Source organism: Homo sapiens, chromosome 16 (genome assembly GCF_000001405.40).
Source record: "Homo sapiens chromosome 16, GRCh38.p14 Primary Assembly".
Classification (NCBI taxonomy): Eukaryota; Metazoa; Chordata; class Mammalia; order Primates; family Hominidae; genus Homo; species Homo sapiens.
Window position 1 is genome coordinate 48,511,906 of NC_000016.10, and position 22,558 is coordinate 48,534,463.

At 48.0% G+C, this 22,558-nt stretch overlaps 1 annotated feature.

Annotated features, from left to right (window-relative positions):
* Window positions 16,261–16,437: a silencer, noted in NCBI's record as "fragment chr16:48562077-48562253 (GRCh37/hg19 assembly coordinates)". NCBI's record gives its function as "represses an EF-1alpha promoter that drives an FKBP-Casp9 reporter gene in an ReSE screen in HepG2 liver carcinoma cells {active_cell/tissue: HepG2}" and the evidence as "EXISTENCE:reporter gene assay evidence [ECO:0000049][PMID:32094911]".

Here is a 22,558-nt window from a genome sequence, read left to right on the forward strand (position 1 = left end):
TGGAAAAAGTGAGAAGGGAGCCTGGGGTGGAGGGGTGGGTACAGAAGTGCTCTTGACCGAGGGAGAGCGTGTGTGGACCTGGCTTAGTCTGTCCCTCCAAGAGGAAGGCAGTGTGGCTGAAGGATGGAGACCAGGAAGTGAGGAAGGGGATGACATTGGGTCCCTGTGTCTCCTTCTAGTCCATTTCACTGGTCAAATCTCACCTCCTCAGTATATATTGATCACTTTCTGCCTTTAGATCCCCAATGTCACCTGCATGGGCCTGTCCCTGCTTAGGGAGGGGTCTCTGGAGGGCAGGCATTCAAAGGCAGAGGAAGAGGCCAGGCGCAGTGGCTCATGCCTGTAATCCCAGCACTTTGGGAGGCTGAGATGGGCAGATCACTTGAGGTCAGAAGTTCAAAACCAGCCTGGTAAACATGGTGAAACCGTCTCTATTAAAAATACAAAAATTATCCAAGAGTGATGGTGCATGCCTGTAGTCCCAGGTACTCGGGAGGCTGAGGCATGACAATTGTTTGCACCCGGGAGGCAGAGGCTGCAGTGAGCCAAGATCAAGCCACTGCACTCCAGCCTGGGCAACAGAGCAAGACTCCATCTCAAAAAAAAAAAAAAAAAGAAGGCAGAGGAAGAGACATCCAAGTTCCAGCCTGGCAAGTAAGGAGCTTAGGCGCAGCCATGCTGTCCACACAACAAGTAATCAACAAAGGAAACAGAACAATCAACAACCCTTCTTAGAATCATCCACGAGGTGAGGTCACAGGGCACACCACTGCTCCCTTCCATTGGAGAGACAGACAGGCGAACACAGAGAACCACACCTTACTGAAGCACAAACCTGCCTATGAGCTGAAAACTCTGGAGGAATCAGTGCAGGGCTATGGAAACCGGAATTGTAATTGACACATTGCTGGAGGCTCAGTGTGGACAAGCCTGAGAGACAAAACTCCAGTGCCACCCAGTCATGAGGGGCTTCCATGCTGTTGTGAATTTTACCCCTGGGAGTTCTACCAGGTCCACATGGTAATTACAGGAGAAAAATTCCCTTATGCTTCCAGCAAGGTAAGAGAAACATTTTTGAAATTTTGAAAAATGTCAGAGCATTCTGTTCCTCTCAACAAGATCTGCCCTCAGGAAAAACTTCTACCAGCTCCTAAACTTCTGAGGTTTTATCAGAGCTTTATTAACCCAAGGAAAGGATAACACCCAACTCCAGCCCCCTTTGTAGCAATCCTGTCCGATTTATGGGGGAAACACTGAAAAGCACAGGTGTTCAGTCCAGAGACAGACTCTCAAAAGACTGAGACCTGCTGGGCATGGTGGGTCACACCTGTAATCTCAGCATTTTGGGAGGTTGAGGCGGGAGGATCATTTGAGGCCAAGAATTCAAGACTAGCCTGGGCAACAGAGTGAGACTTCATCTCTATGAAAAACTTTAAAAATTGGCCAGGCGTGGTGGCTCATGCCTGTAATCCCAGCGCTTTGGGAGGCCGAGGCGGGCGGATCACTTGAGGTCAGGAGTTAGAGATCAGCCTGGTCAACATGGCAAAACCCCATCTCTATTAAAAATACAAAAATTAGCTGGGCATGGTTGCCCACGCCTGTAATCCCAGCTACTTGGGAGGCTGAGGCAGGAGAATCACTTGAACCTGGGAGGTGGAGGTTGCAGTGAGCCAAGATCGCACCACTGCACTCCAGCCTGGGCAACAGAGTGAATCTGTGTCTTAAATTAATTAATTAATTATTTAATTAAATTAAATAATTAATTAATTTAATTTAATTAAATAATAAAAATATTAAAAAATAGCCAGATATTGTGGCGTGTGCCTGCAGTCCCAGCTACTCAAGAGGCTGAGGTGGAAGGATCACTTGAGCCCAGGAGCTCAAGGCTGTAGTGAGCTATGATTGTGCCATAGCACTCCGGCCTGGGTGACAGAGTGAGACCCTGTCTCAAGAAAAAAAAAGACTGAGACCTAATCACAGGACTATAGAAAGCTTCCCTTCCCCCAACTACCATGCCACTAAAGGCCTATCTCCTATAGTTCCTTTTACCCAGGACATCATGTCCACCTTTCAACAAAATTATAAGATGCCTTAGAAAGAAAAAAACACAATTTGAAGTGACTGAGCAGGCATCAGAACAAGACTCAGTGGAGGCTGCAGTGAGCGGAGATCGCGCCACTGCGCTCCAGCTTGGGCGACAGAGCAAGACTCCGTCTCAAAAAAAAAAAAAAAAAGAAAAAAGGAAAGAAATGGAAGGATTAAGGTATAGAGTGTCTGGAAAAAAAAAATTTAACAAAGGAAAGAAATCAAAGGATCAAAAGTAAAAAATCCTGAAAGAAGCCACAACAAAAACCATCTTAGCTAAAGAGAAACAAAGATAAAAACTGATCTAATTTATTCTTAGAAACCACTTAGGAAGATGGGAGTAAACATTTAAAGTCTTAAGAAAAAAATCCACCAACCCAGAATTCTGTATCCTACAAATTTATCCTCCAGAAGTGAAGAAGAAATAAAAACTTTCTCAGACAAACAAAAATTGAGACCAGCCTGGCCAACATGGTGAAACCCCAGCTCTACTAAAAACACAATGGTGACGCATGCCTGTAATCCCAGCTACTTGGGTTGGGGGTTGCTGAGGCCAGAGAATTGCTTGAACCCAGGAGGCGGAGGTTGCAGTGAGCTGAGATCGCGCCACTGCAGTCCAGCCTGGGTAACAGAGTGAGACACCCTGTCTCAAATAAATAAATGAGTAAATAAATATATAAATAAATAGAGGGAATTTGTTGCCAAAAGGTTTGTCTTGCAAAAAATGTTAAAATAAGTTCTTCAGAGAGAATGAAAATAGTATAGGTCAGAAACACAGATCTACATAAAGAAAGAAAGAGCATCAGGAAATGAATAAGTAGAGGCAAAATAAAAGCTTTTATGTTTTTAATCCATCTATCACATAACAGTTTGCTCAAAAGAGGAACAATGTATTCAATTATGTATGCTGGCGGGGTGCGGTGACTCACACCTGTAATCTCAGCACTTTGGGAGGCTGAGGCTGGCAGATCACCTGAGGTGAGGAGGTTGAGACCATCCTGGCCAACTTGGTGAAACTCCGTCTCTACTAAAAACACAAAAGTTAGCCAGGAAGCGTGGTGGCAGGCGCTTGTAATCCCAGCTACTTGGGAGGCTGCTTGAATCGATTGAACCAGGAGGTGGACGTTGCAGTGAGCCAAGATGGCACCACTGCACTCCAGCCTGGGTGACAGAGTGAGATTCCGTATCAAAAAACAAAAAAAATTATATATGCTTAAACATACATGCTTATGGATGCTTATGTATAGATGAAATGAATGATAACAATGAAACAAGGAACAGGAGAGAGAAATTAGAAATATTTTGTTATTATAAGGCACTTGCACTACCCTTTAAAAGGTGTAGTGTTATTTGAAATCAGGTTTGATTTAGTTTCAAAAGTATATTGATTTGTGTGTGTTTGTTTATAAAGAAAAATTTTTAAAAATGTATATTGCAAGTTTTAAGGCAACCAAGTTTTGAAGTAGAAGTAATATACTAAGCAAGGAGAGAAAATGGTATCCTACAAAATGCCTAATTAAAACCACAAAAGGCAGAGACAGAGTAAAAGACAAAAATAGGAACAAAGAATAAGGGCAGCACATTTTAAAATATGGTGGATAATAATCCAATTACATCAACAATTACTTTGAAAGCCAGTGCTCTAAATGTACCAATTAAGGACAGAGATTGTCACAGTATATCAAAAAATAAGATTCAACTGTAAGTTGTCTACAAAAAACCCACTTTAAATATAAAAACACATATACTTTAAAAGTAAAGAGATAAAGAAAGATATTCCATGCCAATGCACATCATAAGAAAGCAGTAGTTCTATTAATTTCAGACAGAGCTGACTTCAGCAAGGAAAGTGATCAGGAATAAAGAAGGCATTACAGAATGAGGGAGGGCTCAGTTCTCCAAGGCAACAATACTTAATATGTACACGCCTAACAACAGAGCATCGGTGCCTGAGAGGCAAAAACTGACAGACCTTCGAGAAGAAATAACGAACCCACTTTTAAAGTTGGAGATTTTGGCTGGGTGCAGTGGCTCACACCTGTAATCCCAGCACTTTGAGAGGCTGAGGAGGGCAGTTCACCTGAGGTCAGGAGTTTGAGACCAGCCTGGCCAACATGGTGAAACCCTGTCTCTACTAAAAGTACAAAAATTAGCTGGGTGTTGTTGTACGCGCCTGTAATCCCAGCTACTCAGGAGGCTGAGGCAGGAGAATCACTTGAACCCGGGACGCAGAGGTTGCAGTGAGCCAAGATCGCACCACTGCACTCCAGCCTGGGTGACAGAGCAAGACTCCGTCTAAATAAATAAATAAATAAATAAATAAATAAGTTGGAGATTTTAACACCCCTTTAACAGAAATGGACAGATCCAGCAGGCAGAACTCAATAGTACCATTAACAGCTGGTATATTGATCTATAAATGGCCTCACCCAGTGACAGCAGATTACACATTCTTCTGAAGCTCATATGGAATATTCACCAAGACAGACCACATTCAGGGCCATAAAAAACACCTTAAGGCCAGGTGTGATGGCTCACACCTGTAATCCCAGCACTTTGGGAGGCTGAGGCAGGCAGATCACCAGGTCAGGAATTTGAGACCAGCTTGGCCAACATAATGAAACCCTGTCTCTCCTAAAAATGCAAAAATTAGCCATGCATGGTGGCACGCACCTGTAGTCCCAGCTACTTCGGAGGGTGAGGCAGGAGAATCGCTTGAACCCGGGAGGCAGAGGTTGTGGTGAGCCGAGATTGCACCACTGCACTCCAGCCTGGGCGACAGAGCAAGACTCCGTCTCAAAAAAAATAAATAAATAAAAACAAAAAAAATCTTAATACATTTAAAAGAATAGAAACCATCCAATGTCTGGCCTCAGACCACAGTGGAATTAAACTAGAAATCAGTAAGAGAAAGATAGCTAGAAAATTCCCAAATACTTGGGGATTAAACAACACACTTCTGCATAACACAAAGGTCAAAAAAGAACTCTCAAGAAAAATTTAAAAATATTTTGAACTAAGTGAAAATGAGAACACAACTAATCAAAATTGTGTGATGTAGCGAAAGTAGTGTTTAGAGAGAAATTGATAATATTGAATGTATGTATCAAAAAAATAGAGATCTAAAATCAACAATTTAAGCTTCCCCTTTAGGAAACTAGAAAAAAAAATTAATTTACACAAAGCAATTTTACACAATTATTTGTGTAATTAATTTACACAAATTTGTGTAATTTGTGTAATTAATTTACACAAATTAAATTTACACAAAACAGAAGAAAAGAAATAATAAAAACCAAAGTAAAACTCAATGAAATTGAAAATAGGAAATCAATAGAGAAAATCAATGAAACTAAAGGGTGGGTCTTTGCAAGACCGATAAAATTCATAAGCCTCTAGCCAGACTAGGAAAAGAGAGCAGACACAAATGACTAATATCAGAACTGTAATTCACTACAGATGAATTAAAAGAATAAATTCATGAGTTAAAAGAATAAAAAATAATATTATGAACAATTCTATGCCCACCAATTTTATGATCTAGATAAAATACACCCATTCCTTGAAACATATAATCTGCCAAGCTGCAATGGAGCAAAGATAGTCTTTTCAACAAATGGTGCTGGAATAACTGAACATCCACATGTCAAAAAATGAATCTAGGCTGGGTGCAGTGACTCATACCTGTAATCCCAGCACTTTGGGATGCTGGGGCAAGAGGATCCCTTGAGCCCAGGAGTTCAAGACAAGCTTGGGCAATATAGTGAGATCTTGTCTGTACAAAAAAAATAGAAAAAGTAACCAGTTGTGGTGGTGCATACCTGTGGTCCCAGCTACTCGGGAGGCTGAGGCAGGAGGATTGGTTGAGCCCAAGAGGTCAAGGCTGCAGTGTGCTGTGATTGTGCCACTGTACTACTACCATCTGGGTGACAGAGTGAGACCCTGTCTCAAAAAAAAAAAAAAAATCTAGACACAGAACTTATACTCTTCATAAAAATTAACTCAAAATGGATCATAGACCTAAATGTACAAATGCAAAACTATAAAACTCCTAGAAGATGACATAGGAGAGAACCTTGATGGCCTTGAGTATGGCAATGAATTTTTAGATGCAACACCAAAGACCTGATCCATGAAATAAATAATTGATAAGCTGGACTTGATTTAAATTTAAAAACTTCTGCTCCATGAAAGACAATGTCAAGACAATGACAAGACAAGCCAGAGACTGGGAGAAAATACTTGCAAAAAACATATCTGATGAAGGACTATTATCCAAATATACAAAGAACTCTTGAAACCCAACAATAAGACAATGAATAATGCTATTTAAGAATGGGCCAATGGCCTTATCAGATACTTCACAAAAGGAGACATACAGACAGCAAATAGCATATGAAAAGATGCTCCACATCATATGTCATCAGGGAAATGCAAATTAAAACAATGAGATACCACTATGAACCTATTAGAATGGCCAAAATCCAGAACACAAACAACACTAAATGCTGATGAGGATGTGGAACAACAGAAACTCTCATTCACTCCTGGTGGGAATGTAAAATGGTACAGCCATTTTGGAAGACATTTTGGCAGGTTTTTATAACACTAAACATCATCTCACCATTTGGTCTAGCAATTGCACTCCTGGGTATTTACCCAAAGGAGCTGAAAACTTATGCCCACACGAAATGCTGCAATAGGCCAGGTGCAGTGGCTCAGGCCTGTAATCCCAGCACTTTGGGAGGCCAAGGCGAGAGGATTGCTTGAGCCCAGGAGTTCGAGACCAGCCTGGGCAAAACAGCTCAACCGCATCTCTACAAAAAAGTTGAAAAATTAGCTGGGTGTGGTGGCGTGCACCTGTAGTTTCAAGTACTCAAAAGGCTGAGGTGAGAAGATCGCTTGAGCCTGAGAGGTCAAGGCTGCAGTGAGCCATGATTGCACCACTGCACTCCAGCCTGGGTGACAGTGTGAGACCCTGTCTCAAAAAAGCAAAAAAAGCTGCACACAGATGTTTGTAGCAGCTTTATTTATAACTGTCAAAATTTGGAAGCAACCAAGATGTCCTTCAGTAGTGAATGGATAAATAAACTTTGGTACATTCAAACAATGGAGTATTATTCAACATTAAAAAGAAATTAGCTATGAACCCACAGAGAGACATGGAAGAAATTTAAATGAACATTATTAGGTGAAAGAAGCCAATCTGAAAAGGCTACTTACTGTATGATTCCAACTATATGACATTCTGGAAAAGGCAAACCTATGGGAGCAATAAAAAGATCAGTGGTTGCAGCCGGGTGTGGTGGCTCATGCCTGTAATTCTAGCACTTTGGGAGGCCGAGGCTGGCGGATTGCCTGAGCTCAGGAGATTGCCTGAGCTCAGGAGTTTGCCTGAGCTCAGGAGTTCGAGACCAGCCTGGTCAACATGGTGAAACCCTATCTCTACTAAAATATAAAAAATTAGCCAGGTGTGGCAGCGTTTGCCTGTAGTCCCAGCTATTTGGGAGGCTGAGGCAGGAGAATCGCTTGAACCCAGGAGGCAGAGGTAGCAATGAGCCGAGATCACACCACTGCACTCTAGCCTATACAACAGAGCGAGACTCCGTCTCCAAAAAAAAAAAAAAAAAAAAAAAAAAAAAAAGATCAGTGGTTGCTAGAAGTTAAGGGGAGGGAAAGATGAACAGGGGGAGCACAGAGGACGTTTGGGGCAGGGCAACTCCTCTAATGTGTGGTACTGCAGTAGTGGACACGTGGCATTATACATTTGTCAAAACCCATAGAATGCACAATACCCAGAATGAATTCTCATGCAAACTATGAACTTTGGGTGATGGTGTGTGGAGGCAGGTTCATCACTTTTAATGAATGTACCAATCTGTTGGGGGATGTTGATGGTGAGGGAGGCTGCTGGGCATGTGTGGGAACAGGGTGTATATGGGAACTCTCTGTACTTTCCATTCGATTTTTCTGTGAACCCAAAACTGTTCTAAGAAATAACATTTACTAATTTAAAAATTTTTTAAATGCTGGGCCTGGTAGTGCATGCCAATAGTCCCAACTACTAGGGAGGCTGAGGCAGGAGGATTGCTTGATCCCAGGACTTTGGGTTCAACCTGGGCAGCATAGTGAGACCCCTGTCTCTAAAGACAAAACAAAGTTCAAAAAAAAAAAAAAAGGCAGAGGAATGCCAGGCAGTTTTCCTTCTTGCCTCCCAGCACTCAGCAGTCACCCATCTCGGCTCCCTGGACTACCTGGGGCCATGTTGTTCATCCCAGCAATGCGGAGGGAGGCCTGCTAAGCTCAGACCTTGGGAACCTGGATAAATAAGGCTCAGCTGCTCTCAGGGCGTTCACAGTCTAGTGCGGCTGTTCTCAGCCTGGTTGTACCTTACAGTCACAGGAGGAGATTTAAAATTGTCCCTGCCCAGGCCATACTCCAGACAGCTGAATCAGAATCTCTGGGGGTGGTAGCCGGGCACAGTGGCTCATGTCTGTAATCCCAGCACTTTGGGAGGCCGAGGCAGCCAGATCACTTGAGCTCAGGAGTTTGAGACCAGCCTGGCCAACATGGTGAAACCCCGTCTCTACTAAAATTACAAAAATTAGCTGGGCATGGTGGTGCACACTGGTAGTCCCAGCTACTCGAGAGGCTGAGGTGGGAGGATTGCTTGAGCCCAGTGGGCAGCGGTTTCAGTGGGCCAAGATTGCACCACTGCACTCCAACCTGAGCAACAGAGTGAGACTCCATTTAAAAAAAAAAGCTGATTTAAAGTTCCTCCAGTGAGAAAGACTGACTGGGGGAGAAACAGAGCTATGAACAAGCAGATACAACCCACGGAAGAGTTCCTCAGGTGACATCGCTGAGGGCTGGTAACGTGGCCTGGGAGCTACGGAGAAGCTGTTCTGGAGAAAGTGATTTAAAGGAGGAGTCGGAGCATGTCAAGCAAAGCAGGTGGAGTGGAGAGATGTCCCTGCAGAGGGGACAACAGGTACCTAGGCCAGGAGGAACAGGGAGGGCCTATAGTCTACACTAAGGAATTTGGACTCTACCCCAGGTAAACGGGGAGCCATTGGAGGCTTTTATTTATTTATTTTTTTCCTTTGAGATGGAGTTTCACTCTTGTTGCCCAGGCTGCAGTGCAATGGCGCGATCTCTGCTCACTGCAACCTCTGCCTCCCGGGTTCAAGTGATTCTCTGCCTCAGCCTTCCGAGTAGCTGGGATTGCAGGCTTGCACCACCACCATGCCCAGCTAATTTTGTATTTCAAATAGAGACGAGGTTTCACAATGTTGGTCAGGCTGGTCTCAAACTCCTGACCTCGGGTGATCCACCTGCCTTGGCCCCCCCAAAGTGCTGGGATTACAGGCATGAGCCACCATGCCCAGCCCATTGAGGGGCTTTAAGCAGAGGAAGAATGTGGCCCACTAGGGAGCATGTTGGAGACTGGCTTGCAGAGGCCAGGCTGGGAACCTCGAACTTTAGGCTTGGAACCAGCTCTTCGAACTTGGAGCTTGGAACCAGCTCATTCCTCCATTGATTGCTTGTTTCCAAACTTAACTGAAATGTTGCAGGCAGGACCATCGGTGTCCCTTGGCAAATAGTACGTGCTCAGTAACCATTTCATCGTTGATGTTATTTGTCGACCAAGTCAATGCGATGCACAAAAATGTCCTAGTGGAAACAGGAAAGGGAGTACTAGAGAGGATGGGACTCAGTGCCTGATTCTTCCTGTCTTCACGTACCAGTCAGGCCCTGTGGAGCCACCATGGGTGACTCTGAGACCATCTTCCAAAGGTTGGGAGAGGGAATTTGGAGAGGACAGAGTGGTGAGGCAAGGGGGTCCCAGGTGGAAATCTGTACTCCCAGGAGTCAACCCCACCTACTATGGGGCTGGCTTATTCCCAGGAATTGACAGTTTTCTAGGGGCTAAGGTGGGAGACTCACCTAGGGGGGACCCCAATTTCCAGTCCTGCAGAAGGGAAGTGAGGAGCAGAGGTTGCTGGGAGTTTCTCGATCCACAGCGGGTAAAGTGGGGCCCAATTTCCCCACCAACAGCTTTACCCAGGGGCAGATGGGTGGGGTGCAGCGTTCAGAGGGAACCAGGCTGCTCTATGGAAAAGCCACCTGGAAAGCCCCAGCCCAGGCTTTGGGGTTGGGGGCCATCTGGCTGAGACAGCTCTCGAGGGAGGCCTGTCCTGACCCACAGGATGTGCTGTTTTCCCGGAAGAAGGCGCCTACCAACCCAAATAGACCAAGGGGCGGGGTGGGGAGCGAAGCAGTGCAGGCTGGGGTTGGGGGTGGTGGGGCAGGAAAAGATGTGTGGAGAGAAGGTGTATGGGCCTGCGTTGAATCCTGGGCCTGGACTGACTCCTTGGTGAGGTGGGGACTCAGCAGGACTTACGTGGATGTCACCTTGTTCAACAGGCACATGGCAGGTGGTGGAGCCATTGATAAGTGGGAAGCTTTTATTTGGCCCCAAGACAGAGTCTGAGTTTGTTGGCATTGCCCTGGAAACCCAGAGCATGCCCAGGATCCGGTGAGAAGATGCCCTGACTCCAGGCACAGCACTGAGGGGAGAGGATGACTTTCGGCTGAGGGTGGAGTGGCAGACACAGACACGAAAAAGTAAAAGGACAATGGAGAGGTCAGAAGGAGAGAGGAGTCTTGGGCTCCAAATGTAGAGGGCACTCAGGGGCAGGCCAGAGCCCTTCCCACTGGTGAGGCTTGGATGGAAGTCTAGAGCTGAATTCTAGCTCAGGGCCCAGAGTGCTAAAGACAGGCTCACCAGGGACTGGGCTGCCTAGGCTCCCAGCTCTAGGCTGAGCTTCCCCCATCTTGTGCAAGGGAAGAGCGAGGTGGCCCTGCCACCAAACTTCACCCAAGATGGAGCCACCAAAGACCTTAAAATCCACTCCCTGGCTGGGTGTGTTGGCTCACACCTTCAATCCCAAACACTTCGGGAGGTCAAGCCTGGACAATCCCTTGAGGCCAGGAGTTTGAGACCAGCCTGGTCAAGAAAGTAAGACTCCTATCTTTAGAAAAATTTAAAAAGAAAAAAAAAATGATCCAGGCAGAGTGGCCCACGCCTGTAGTCCCTGCTACTCAGGAGGCTGAGGTGGGAGGATTGCTCACCCTCCCCAGCCCAGGATTTTGAGACTCCAGTGAGCTATGACCTTGCCACTGTACTCCAGCCTGGGTGACAGCATGAGACCCTGTCTCTGAAAAAAATAATAATAAAAACAAGCCCCCTGCCTCCATGCTCCAGAGCAGGCCTTGGCTCCTGGATTCAGGTCCGCCAGGATCCCTAAGGGCTCCAGGGAAGGTGTCCTCATCTGGCATCCAGAGGGGCAACTTGCAGGGGCAACCAGACAGCTGGAAAGAGCGTGTTGGGTTTTGTTTTGGAAGGGTATATGGGAAGACAAGAAAAGGCCGCCTTTGTTTAGGAGGCTGGCCCTGGCTGGTGAGGCGTGCTCTCACTGGGCAGTGGCTGTCTGCCTTTTTGGGAGCAGCTGATGGACTGTCTGCAGGTGCTGCCCACCAGGCCTGGGGCGAGCTCTCCCCTCCCTGCTAATGCTTCCTAGGACTCCAATCACTCGGTATTTCAGCACAGTTAGGCCAGTCCTTCTCTTCACTGTTGGGGAAACTGAGGTACCACCACAATGTCACCAAGGGGATGCGACGGGATGAGTTGCTTATACATGTGATCAGGGCCTGATTTCCACTACTACCAACACTGCACAGAGGTCAGTGCGTCCCCACGGAATGCGGAGGTCAGGCCTGTGACCTTCCTTAGGAGCATGGGGTAAAATGAGGGGCTTTGTGTTTTCCAGGCAGAACTCTTCAGAGAGGCTTTGGCTTAAGAGGTGGGGAGAGGATGGACCCCACCCAAGGAGCTGAATTCCAGGAAGGTGGCAATTCTCCCCTTGGTGGAGACCCGGGACCCCTCACACCCAGCACCCGAGAGTGGCTGGGCCAGGGCGGCAGTGGTGTGACATCCCATGTCAACCTCAACACCCCTGTGGCAGCCCTAAGCACAGAGACATTTGTCTTCAAATGAACCATTAGTCTAACCAGGAGTCCCCGGAGGGGGACAGTCCAGAGGGGCCTGGCCCTGGAGAGCCTGCATGGAAAAGTCCTGGAGCCCTTGCAAGCCTTAGCATGGGGAAGGGGGCAAAATGTGGCTGGCACTGGTGTCTCTGCAACTTTGGCAAATGGGGGTTCCAAACAGATTTAATTTGATTTAGAAGATCAAGAAATGTGATTTAGAAATGCCAAGAAAACCACATTTTCACCTGGAGTGCCTCAGGTGGACTTGTGCCTATTGTAGGTATTTGACAAGGTTTCTTCTCTAGGTCAAGTAGTTTATCTCAGCCAGGCCTTGGCTCACATTGGCTCGTGCCCCCGAATGCCTCTCCCTCTGCTCCCAGCTCCACCCTGCCAGTCCTACCCAGCTTCCTCTGGGAGCCTTCCTTGCACCCTCAGATGGGATGGGTCCTCTTCCCAGGCATGTGGGTTCTCAGACGCAGGCAGAGCTGGTGCATCTGTCTTCATTCCTCTAAAGTACCCTTCACACCTCAGGGCTGTCCCACAGGCAATTCCCTCTGCCCTTGTGGAACTTATGAGACATCACTCAAATGCACATGTAAACAGCATGATGTCAATGTGATCACTGCAAAGAGGAAACCTCCACTCTTGCCCCATCCAAAGTACACTCCACACCTCAGAGCTGTCCCACCGGCAATTCCCTCTGCCCGGAATGCACCTTCCCAGAACTGGCTAACGCCAGCTCTGATGGCCCCAGCCAGGCCCCTAGGGAGTGAATGATCTTTCGGGTCATCCCAGCACCCAGCACCCAGCCTTCAAGTCTCTATCTGAGTCCTCAGATATCATGAAGTAGAGACAGGCCAGACTCAGTGTCCTTTTTACATTTCCGACCCACAGTAACGTGGAAGATAATAAACATTGTTGAAGCCACTGCTCTTGGGCGTAATTTGTTACACAGCAGTAGATGTGAGGGCCGACTCCCCACTCCTGCCCCTCCCTCTGTGAGATGCTCACAGCACCCTACTGGTTTCCTCTTTGCACTGACCACATTGTCACCATGCCTGTTTGCATGCATATTTGAGTGACGTCTCATTAGCTCCACGAGGGCAGGAACCTTGGCTGCTGTGCCCACTGTTTTGTCCCTAGCAGTGAGCACAGCATGGTGCCTGGCTCTGTGTTCAAAACATGAACCTTGAATGAATGAATGAATGAAGCTGGTAAGAGGCAGGAGCCTGTCTCAGTGACCTGGAGGTGGAATTTGAATCCTTCCTAGAACGTCCTGTCTCCTCCTTCTGGGAACCGGCAGGTGACAGTGAGTGAGGTGGTATAGGGGGCTGGAGGGGGAGAGAGTAGTAGGTGGCAGCCAAGGGTAGATCCCCACGGCCACCAGTGCAGGGAGGATTTCAGACTCTGATCCACTGGCAGCACTTCCTCCTCTTTGTCTCCTTTGGCCTCTTCTCATTGTTTTGGACACACCAGCTGCTTCCTGTGGCACACCTGGAGGATGGGCAGTGCTGTCCCTTGGCACCCTCCCACAGGCTGTGCTCTCACATCTTTCATGCCCACTCCCACAGGGCCCACATGTTTCTCCTCCAAGGAGACTCCCAGGTTACCCTGAGGCTCAGGCACCTGTTGGTTCCTGTTACTGCCCCAGGGCCCCTCATCAGCACTAGGGAAGCAGGCAGCGTGACGTCTTCAGGTCACTGGAAGTGAATATAAGTTGACTAAGACTCAAAACAACAAAATACGCAAACAACCCCCACCCCAAACTGCTTCCCTCTACCCATACCTTAGCAACCATCATCTGACAAGTAACAGACACGTTAGGTGACCCAGGAGGCACCTTTGCCGCCATCTCTCCTTGGAGGCGGTACCCTCCCAGGAGGCTCCCACCCAATTCCCTTGTCTTCTTGTCTCTGAGGCTTTTTCTGAGGTCAGGGGAGGGGGCGTCCTCCCCTCTACCCAGCATAACTTGGTTGGGTGCTGTGGCATGGACCTTGCTTGGGGTAAGGGAGTGCCCTGTGCCCTCCTGCCATCCCTAGTTCCAGGTTTCCTTTATTCTAATTTTCTAGCTTGATGAAAACGTTGGCATGTTTATAGGACCACGAATAAAATGCAGTGAAATTTACCTTTTGCATTCCCTGAAACAGTCAGCCTGTTTCCTGAAACAAGTTTCCTTGACCTTTGGACATTCCAGGAGTCACATTTCCCACCCCACGCTGCCCCCACCCACTGGCTAGCTGATCCTTCCACTGTGCTGGGCTAAGGCTATGCTTACGTTGACATCACTGAAACCCTACGTGCCAAGCTGTGCATAGAGGAAGGCAAAGTGTTCTAGGAAGCAACGGAATACAGGTGGTCCCTGGCGGCTCGGTCTGCAGGTGAAAAAATGCAGGTGGGGGTTGTTTTTTAGGGCTGTGTAGGGACTGATCTGGGAATCAGCCAAGGGAGCATAAAACCTGACACCACCTCCCATAATCTGGGTGCCCAGCACCCTCCATTTAACTCTGGCTTGGTGGAACCCCCTTGCACTTCCCTCCACAAGTGCCACTTGGGTCACAAGCCGCCATTCTGTTCATTCACCTGACAGTGCGCCCTTCTCCTGGTCCCTGCACCTCTGACACACACAGATGATGGTGAGTTGACTCCACCTGGTGGCTCCTTGGCCCAGGTTATCAGTGATGACTCAAGGCTGAGCTGCCTATTTCCTGGGAGGCGCTTCTTAGAAAGGAATAGGCCCTGTCACTTCCCAGGTAGCTTTCAGCAGCCCCTACCACCTCTCCCACCTACCTTCGACAGAGTTGCTTGCCAGCCTTCTCAGCTGGGGCTTCCTGGCAACTACACCTTGCCAGGGCTTGCAGCCCAGCAGCATGGCAGGGGCTAATGGCCACAGGGTTGTCATGGGAAGCACCAGAGGGCCACAGGATCCCTAGCCTGGGCCTGTCTCTAGGTAACCTCAGAATGCAGGCATGGAAGAGGATCAACCCCTTGTCGGGCAGCAGAGGAGACTGAGGCAAAGAGAAGAAACCTTTCTGATGTGCTCCTCCTCACTGGACCTTTCTTGTCCAGCTTCCCTTCCATGGCCCACACCAGGAGGCAGCAACTGGCTGGCTGTGCACAAGGATGGAAATGGATTACACCAGGGTGTGCACTGACCCAGGGACCATGCGTCCAAATGCTGGTAAGCCACCTATGAAGGATGCCCATGGGGTGGCATCAACTAAGCCAACCAGATTGGGACCAGACTAAAGAATATATGGGGACTAGGGGCTAGAAGCGAGAGGAGACAAGAGGGACCAGAGAGCCTGGAGCCAAGGCTGTTGCTGCCCCCAAACCACCTCAGGCACTGTGGACTGCCAAGTCCTGATGGGCCCCCAAACCACCTCAGGCACTGTAGACCCCAAGCCCTTACGGGCCCCCAAACCACCTCAGGCACTGTGGACCCCAAGTCCTTATGGGCCCCCAAACCACCTCAGGCACTGTAGACCCCAAGTCCTGATGGGCCTCAACCAGGCTCTCCCTGCGTCACTCTCACCCTCATCAGGGCTCCTATGTTGGCTACCCCCTGTCCAAATATATCTACCCACATTCGGTGTTTTCATTTTTTTTTCTGTAAGCTTTATAGTTTTACATTTAGACATGATCCACTTTTTTTTGTTTATTTGACACAGAGCCTTGCTCTGTCACCTAGGCTGGAGTGGATCTTTGCTCACTGCAACCTCCACCTCCTGGGTTCAGGTGATTCTTGTGCCTCAGCCTCCTGAGTAGCTGGGATTACAGACAGCTGGGTGGCTGTACTACCATGCCCAGCTAATTTTTGTATTTTTAGTAGAGATGGGGTTTTGCCATGTTGGCCAGGCTGGTCTTAAACTGCTGGCCTCATGTAATCCGCCACCTTGGCCTCCCAAAGTGCTGGGATTACAGGCGTGAGCCACTGCACCTGGCCATTATCCATTTCTATTTAATTTTTGTATATGATATGAATATAGGTGGAGGTTCATTTTTGGTTTATGGATTATATTAGTTTTCTGTGCTGCATAAGGACCACAAACTTAGCAGCTTAAAGCAATACACATTTATTTTATCACAGCTTCTGTGGGGCCAGGAGTCTCTGCACAGTTTGGCTGCATCCTCTTCTTAGAATCTCCCCAGGCTGCAATCAGGGTGTCCCTGGGCTTTGTTCTCATCTGGAGGCTTGACTGGGGAGAATCTGTTCTAAGCTCATTCAGATTGTTGGTGGGATTCATTTCCTTGCAGCTGGAGTACTGAGGGCTCCAGCTCCCTGCTGGTCACTCACAGCTCCTAGAGGTCTCCTACAAGTCCCTGTCACATGGACTTCCCAAACACAACTGCTTACTTAATCAAGCCAGCAAGGAGAGTCTGGAGTAGTCAGCTAGCAAGATGGAATCTTATATAATGTAACATAATCATGAAAATGACCTCCTGTAGCTTGTCAGGCTCTATTGATTAGAAGCAAATCACAGGTCCCACCCATACTCAAGGGGAGGGGTTCCACTAAGGTGTGAACACCAAAAGGCAAGGGACCCTGGGAGCCATCTAAAAGTGAGCCTGCCCACCATGTGGACACATTATTTGCTAAAAAGAATATCCGTTCTCCATTGAATTGTCATCACAGTGGGATTTCTTTGTTTGTTTTTGTTTTTTGAGACAGAGTCTCGCTCTGTGTCACCCAGGCTGGAGTGCAGTTGCACGATCTCAGGTCACTGCAACTCCCACCTCCCAGGCTCAAGCAATTCTCATGCCTCAGCCTCCCGAGTAGCTGGGATTATAGGTGTGAGCCACCATGCCCAGCTAATTATTTTGTATTTTTTAGTAGAGACAGAGTTTCACCATATTGGCCGGGCTGGTCTGCAACTCTGGCCTGAAGTGATCCGCCCGCCTCGGCCTCCCAAAGTGCTAGGATTACAGTCATGAGCTACTGTGCCCAGCCCACAGTGTTTTAAAAGAACCAGTCAATCATATTTGTGTGAGCCTATTTCTGGACACTGCCATCTATTCCATTGATCTTTGTGTCCATCCTTTTGCCAATAACATTATGTCCTAGGTGGGGTGCAGTGGCTCTTGCCTATAATCCCAGCACTTTGGGAGGCCAAAGCTAGAGGATTGCTTGAGGCCAGGAGCTCAAGACCAGCCTGGGCAACATAATGAGACTCCATCTCTACAAAAACAAACAAGCCCATAACATATTGTAGCTTTATAATAAATCTAGAAATCAGGCAGTGTGAGTTCTCCAACTTGGTTGTTCTTTTTCAAAATTATTTTTGGATATTTTATGTCCTTTGCCCTTCCATATACACTTTACAATCAGTTTGCAAATTTTCATCCAAAGAAGCCTGCTGGAATTTTTATTGGGATTGCTTTGAATCTATAAAAGTAATCAAAAAATTTGAGTCAAGATTTAAAAATTGATATGAGTTGACATGTTAACAACTTCAGATTTCTCATTTTTCTGGAAAATGGGAAGAGGGGGCACCACCAGGCCTGCAATCCTACAGGAAAACAACCAACTCCCCTCCTCCCTCCATGGCCACATGCTCAGTGCACCTGCGCTTCCCCCTCCCCTCCACCATGGGGACTCACACTCTCCTCTTCACACTTTGTTGCTGGCCTGGCCCTCTTAGACACTGGAGTTGGTGGCTCCTGTGTTAGCTTCTCTTGGCTCTGACTTTTGGTGGGGGGCTGGATGCTCTCCCTCCCACTCTTGGCCTGGCTAATGTCTTCTCATCCTTCAGAACTCAGGGCTCCAGGAGACCTTCCCATACCCAAGTGAGGTGAGGACTCCAGGCTTGTGATCTTGGAGCTCCCTGTGCTTATCCTCAGTCCTTGCCCCAGGGGTGAGGTGCTTGTTGGGGTGATCAGTAACTCAATGTCTGTCTCTCCCAGCAAGCTCCCTGAGGCCAGGAACCATGTCTTTCGGTCACTGCTGTATCTCCAGTGCCCACCATAATGTCTGGCTCATAGTACATGCTCAATAAATGTTCACAGGATAAATGAGCCCTTCTCCTAGGCTGTGGCTGATATCCTAGAAGAGTTCCTTCTGTCCTCCTAGCTCCCCACCTCACTCCCTTGGTCCTCTAGTTTGACGATGTTCCTGTGAAAAATGACCAAGTAGGACTCTCACGTTCCTGGCCTGGAAACTGCTAACTTCTAACAAGATAGATAAGCTCTTCAGCACCTAGGGCAGGCCCTGGCTGGACATGCAGGACACAGCCCCATGTGTTGCTCTGAGGGCTCTAGCTTCTTTTCTGGTCGCAATCATTTTAAGAAATTAAAGCATTATTTACATACATTAAAATGCACAGACCCTAATTGTTCGATGTTTTGACAGTTGTATACACCCATATAACCACCATGCAAAACAAGATATAGGACATTTCCACAATCCCAGAAAGTCCCTTCACGTGCTTCCCCTCCCCCCCACTCTCTGGCTGCCGTTCCCATGTAGTTTTGCCTGTTCTTGAAATTTATATAAATGGAGTCATCCAGTGTGTACTCTTTGTGCCTGGCTTCTTAAACACAACATAATGCCTGGGAGATTCATCCACCTTGCTGCATCTGCCTGTGCAGTCTGCATATACTGTATGTACTAGTCTGCGTATCTGTTGCATAGTATTCCATTGTATGGGTGTTCCACAGTTACATGATGCATTCACTTACCTGTTGCACACTTGGGTTGTTTCCAGCTTTGGCTATTAGGAACAAGAAGGCTGCTATTCACATTCTTGTGCAAGTCTTGTGTGTGTGTGTGGACATATGGTTCATGCTCTTAGGTAAATACCTAGGAATGGCACTCCTGGGTCATAGGGTAGATAGGTATGCCATTTTGTTTTCTAAGGCAGCCTTGGCTTATTCTTCCTACTGTTGACCTCCTCTCCTCTGGATGGAAGAGGAGATTCCAAGAATCAGGGCAGGTTGGAACTGTAAGAGCCTTCAGAGGTCAGCCCCCAGCTCTCATCCTGATATGGGGATCTAGGCTTATGAGGGCATGGCTCATCCACGATGCGCAGAGCCAGACCTGATAGGGCCAGAATGGCAACTGGGCCTAGACTCTGGCCCAGCAGAGATGGAGAGGGTGTCTGGATAGCAGTGACGGCAGTGGTGCCAGGCCTGGCTTCTGCAGATGTTGTCGGTGTTCCTGATACATTTGCTTCTGGCGTCAGCCAGGTTGGGAGGGTGTTTGTTCTTGCAAGTAAAAGTTTCTTGATGGAAACATGTAGAAGTTCAAGGTGCAGACCCTGCTCACTGCCCTGTACCCCAACCTAGTGGGAGTAATGGGAGATGCCAGCCAGCTGAGTGATTGAAGCCACAGCTGCACAAGGGCAGAAGCCATGCCGAGTTGCTCACAGCCATGTGCTTCCTGTGCCTGACTGAACACAGAAGCTGCCCAAAAAATGACAGCTGCACGGAGGGACAGTACAAGCTGCCAGAGGCTGATGTACTCAGGTGGGGCTCCACGGGAGACTTCCTGGAAGAGGGGGCCTGGAGCTGATGCTGAAGCACCGCCTCTCCCAAATCTCACAGTGCTCTCCTAGTCCTCCATGGGTTCACAGCCGCCCCATCCAGCAGCCGGGTGGGGACTCTCACGTATGTTCGCGCACTTGGACCCTGACACCCAGAGAAGGGAAGGGGCAAGCCCAAGGGAGTCCACAGCAGAGCTGGAACCAGAACTGGGCTGTGCTTGACTGAGAGGAGATGGCTGTGGGTGACACGGGGAGGGACATCCGCCCTCACTGCCCTATAACGACCCTCCAGAGAGCAGCGGTGCCTGGGCCTGGAAGTGTGAGTTTCCACTCTGAACAGATGGTTGCAATTACCAAGTGCAGGACGGGCAGGCGAGGAGCACACTCCCATAGAGGGAGCGGAGCAGAGGGCTGCAGAGACATCCCGAGCACAGGCCAGCTGGCCGCGATTCCTCCAGCACTCCAACTTCAAACATGAAACTGCCTTCTTTTTGCTACTTCTCTCCACCACCTGGGCATATGATTCTGACAATTTCATACAATTTTTAAAGAAAAGAAAAAAGCTCTATTTTTCTTGGAAAGCTGTGCCCAGTTGGTTTTCTATAGATTTGCTCTCTGGAGGTTCCCCTTGGCAGGAGGTCAAAGCCTTAGGGGAGGCAGGGTCCCCCCAGCTCTCGGGCTTGGCAATTCTGAACATGACAAAGGCTGTGGGCAATGATTTCTCCTCGGCCATGGAAATCAGGTGTTCCAATGCACAGGAGCCCTGGCCCTGCCTTTCCACACTCTCTCTCCACTCCACGCCTCTCACCCCCCACCCCCGTCTCTGTCTCTCTTTCTCTCCCTGCTCTTTAAAAAGGGTCCTTGGCTGGCCCAGTTGCTCATGCCTGTAATCCCAGTGCTTTAGGAGGTTGAAGCAGGAGGATCGCTTGAGGCCAGAGTTAGAGACCAGTGTAGGTAGCTCGATGCCATCTCTAAAGATACATAAATAACTAAAAATAACAAAATACAATGAAAAGGGTCCTGTTCTGTCCTGTACAGGAGGAAGATGAGTGAAGCCGTTTATTTTCCTTTGAGATGGAGTCTCGCTCTGTTGCTCAGGCTGGAGTGCAATGGCACGATCTCGGCTCACTTCAACCTCCGCCTCCCAGGTTCAGGTAATTCTCCTGCCTCAGCCTCCTGAGTAACTGGGATTACAGGCACATGCCACCATGCCCAGCTAATTTTTTTTGTATTTTTAGTAGAGATGGGGTTTCACCATATTGGTCAGTCTGGTCTTGAACTCCTGACCTCAGGTGATCCGCCTGCCTTGGCCTCCCAAAGTGCTGGGATTACAGGCATAAGCCACCATGCCTGGCCAACCTTTTTTTTTTTTTTTTTTCCAAATTTAACTTTTAAGTTCAGGGGTACCTGTACAGGTTTGTTATATAAGGGAACTTGTGTCATGGGGGTTTGTCGTGCATTATTTTTCCTAATCTTCTCCTTCCTCCCATCCTCCACCCTCCAATAGACTCCAGTGTCTGTTGTTCCCCTCTTTGTGTCCATGAGTTTTCTCATTTATTAATAACTCCCACCTATAAATGAGAACATGAGGTATTTGGTATTCTATTCCCATGTTAGTTTGCTAAGGATAATGGCCTCCAGCTACATCTATGTTTCTACAAAATACATGATCTCATTCTTTTCTGTGGCTGCACAGTATTCCAGAGTGAAGCCTTTTAAAAATTCATACAAAGTTGATTGAGGTTGTGGCTTGGTGCGATGGCTCACAGGTGGGCGGGTCACCTGAGGTCAGGAGTTCAAGACCAGACTGGCCAACATGGTGAAACCCTGTCTCTACTAAAAAGTACAAAAATTAGCCGGGCGTGGTGGCAGGCACCTGTAATCCCAGCTACTTGAGAGGCTGACGCAGGAGAATTGCTTGAACCCGGGAGGCAGAGGTTGCAGTGAGCTGAGATTGTGCCACTGCACTCCAGCCTGGATGACACAGCAGAACTTCGCCTCAAAAAATAAATAAATAAATAAAAATAAAAATAAAAAAGTTGACTAAAGGAAAAAGAACTACCCCAACCCTGGTTATGTAGGGCTTGCTGGATGTAAATGGACAATGGTATTCGCTTGCAAACCAGGGTGACCAAGTGTACAGGCAGGGGTCACTGAGACTCCAGGCAGTTAAGGGATCCTCTTGAGTAGAAGTTACATACGTTAAGTCATGATTAGGAATGACTGTGCTCCATTAAAAAAAACAAAACAAAACAAAAAACAAAAAGAAAAACCAACTTGATTTTTTTTCCCCAAAGAGGAACCAGATGCATTTTCCTGCTGCCAGAGAAGGCTGTGAACTGTGCAGTCTTGGGCAGCAGGGCTAACTTTCCCCTGGGTCCTGGCCCTTCAAGGAGGGTGCACATGGAGGCCAGAGGTGCAGACAGACTGTGGGTTCTGCAGAGGAGCTGGCTCATCTCAGTGGTCTTGGGAAGACTGAGCCCCATCATCTGGTACCAGGACCTTTGGGCCATCTCGTGCTACTGACAGGCTGAGCCCTCCAGAACAGACATTGGAAGCAGCTGAACAGTGAGTCCTCCATACATCGAAGGCCCCCATCTCGACCCCGCCATCCCCTTAATACGCCCCAGGAATAGAGCTAGGTTAACTGGTTGCCCTCTTGTTACAAGAGTCAGTGAAGGCTGGAGCCAGAGTTGTCTCCAAGGTGCAGAAACGCAGGCTTGGGTAGGGTTTTCCAGAGGAGAGTGTGCACCCAGCTGGCCTTCCACGCTGGGGAGAGGAGGCAGAATACATCTCTTAGGATATAGCCAGACCCTCTTCCCTGACTTCTCCAGCTCCAAGATACTTACAAGTTCCTCTAAAGCTCCCCCACGGAATCTTCTTTTCCATTTTCTGTTTCCCTGTGCGAGCGCTCTCCCATCCGCAGCACCCCTCCCCAGCCCAGT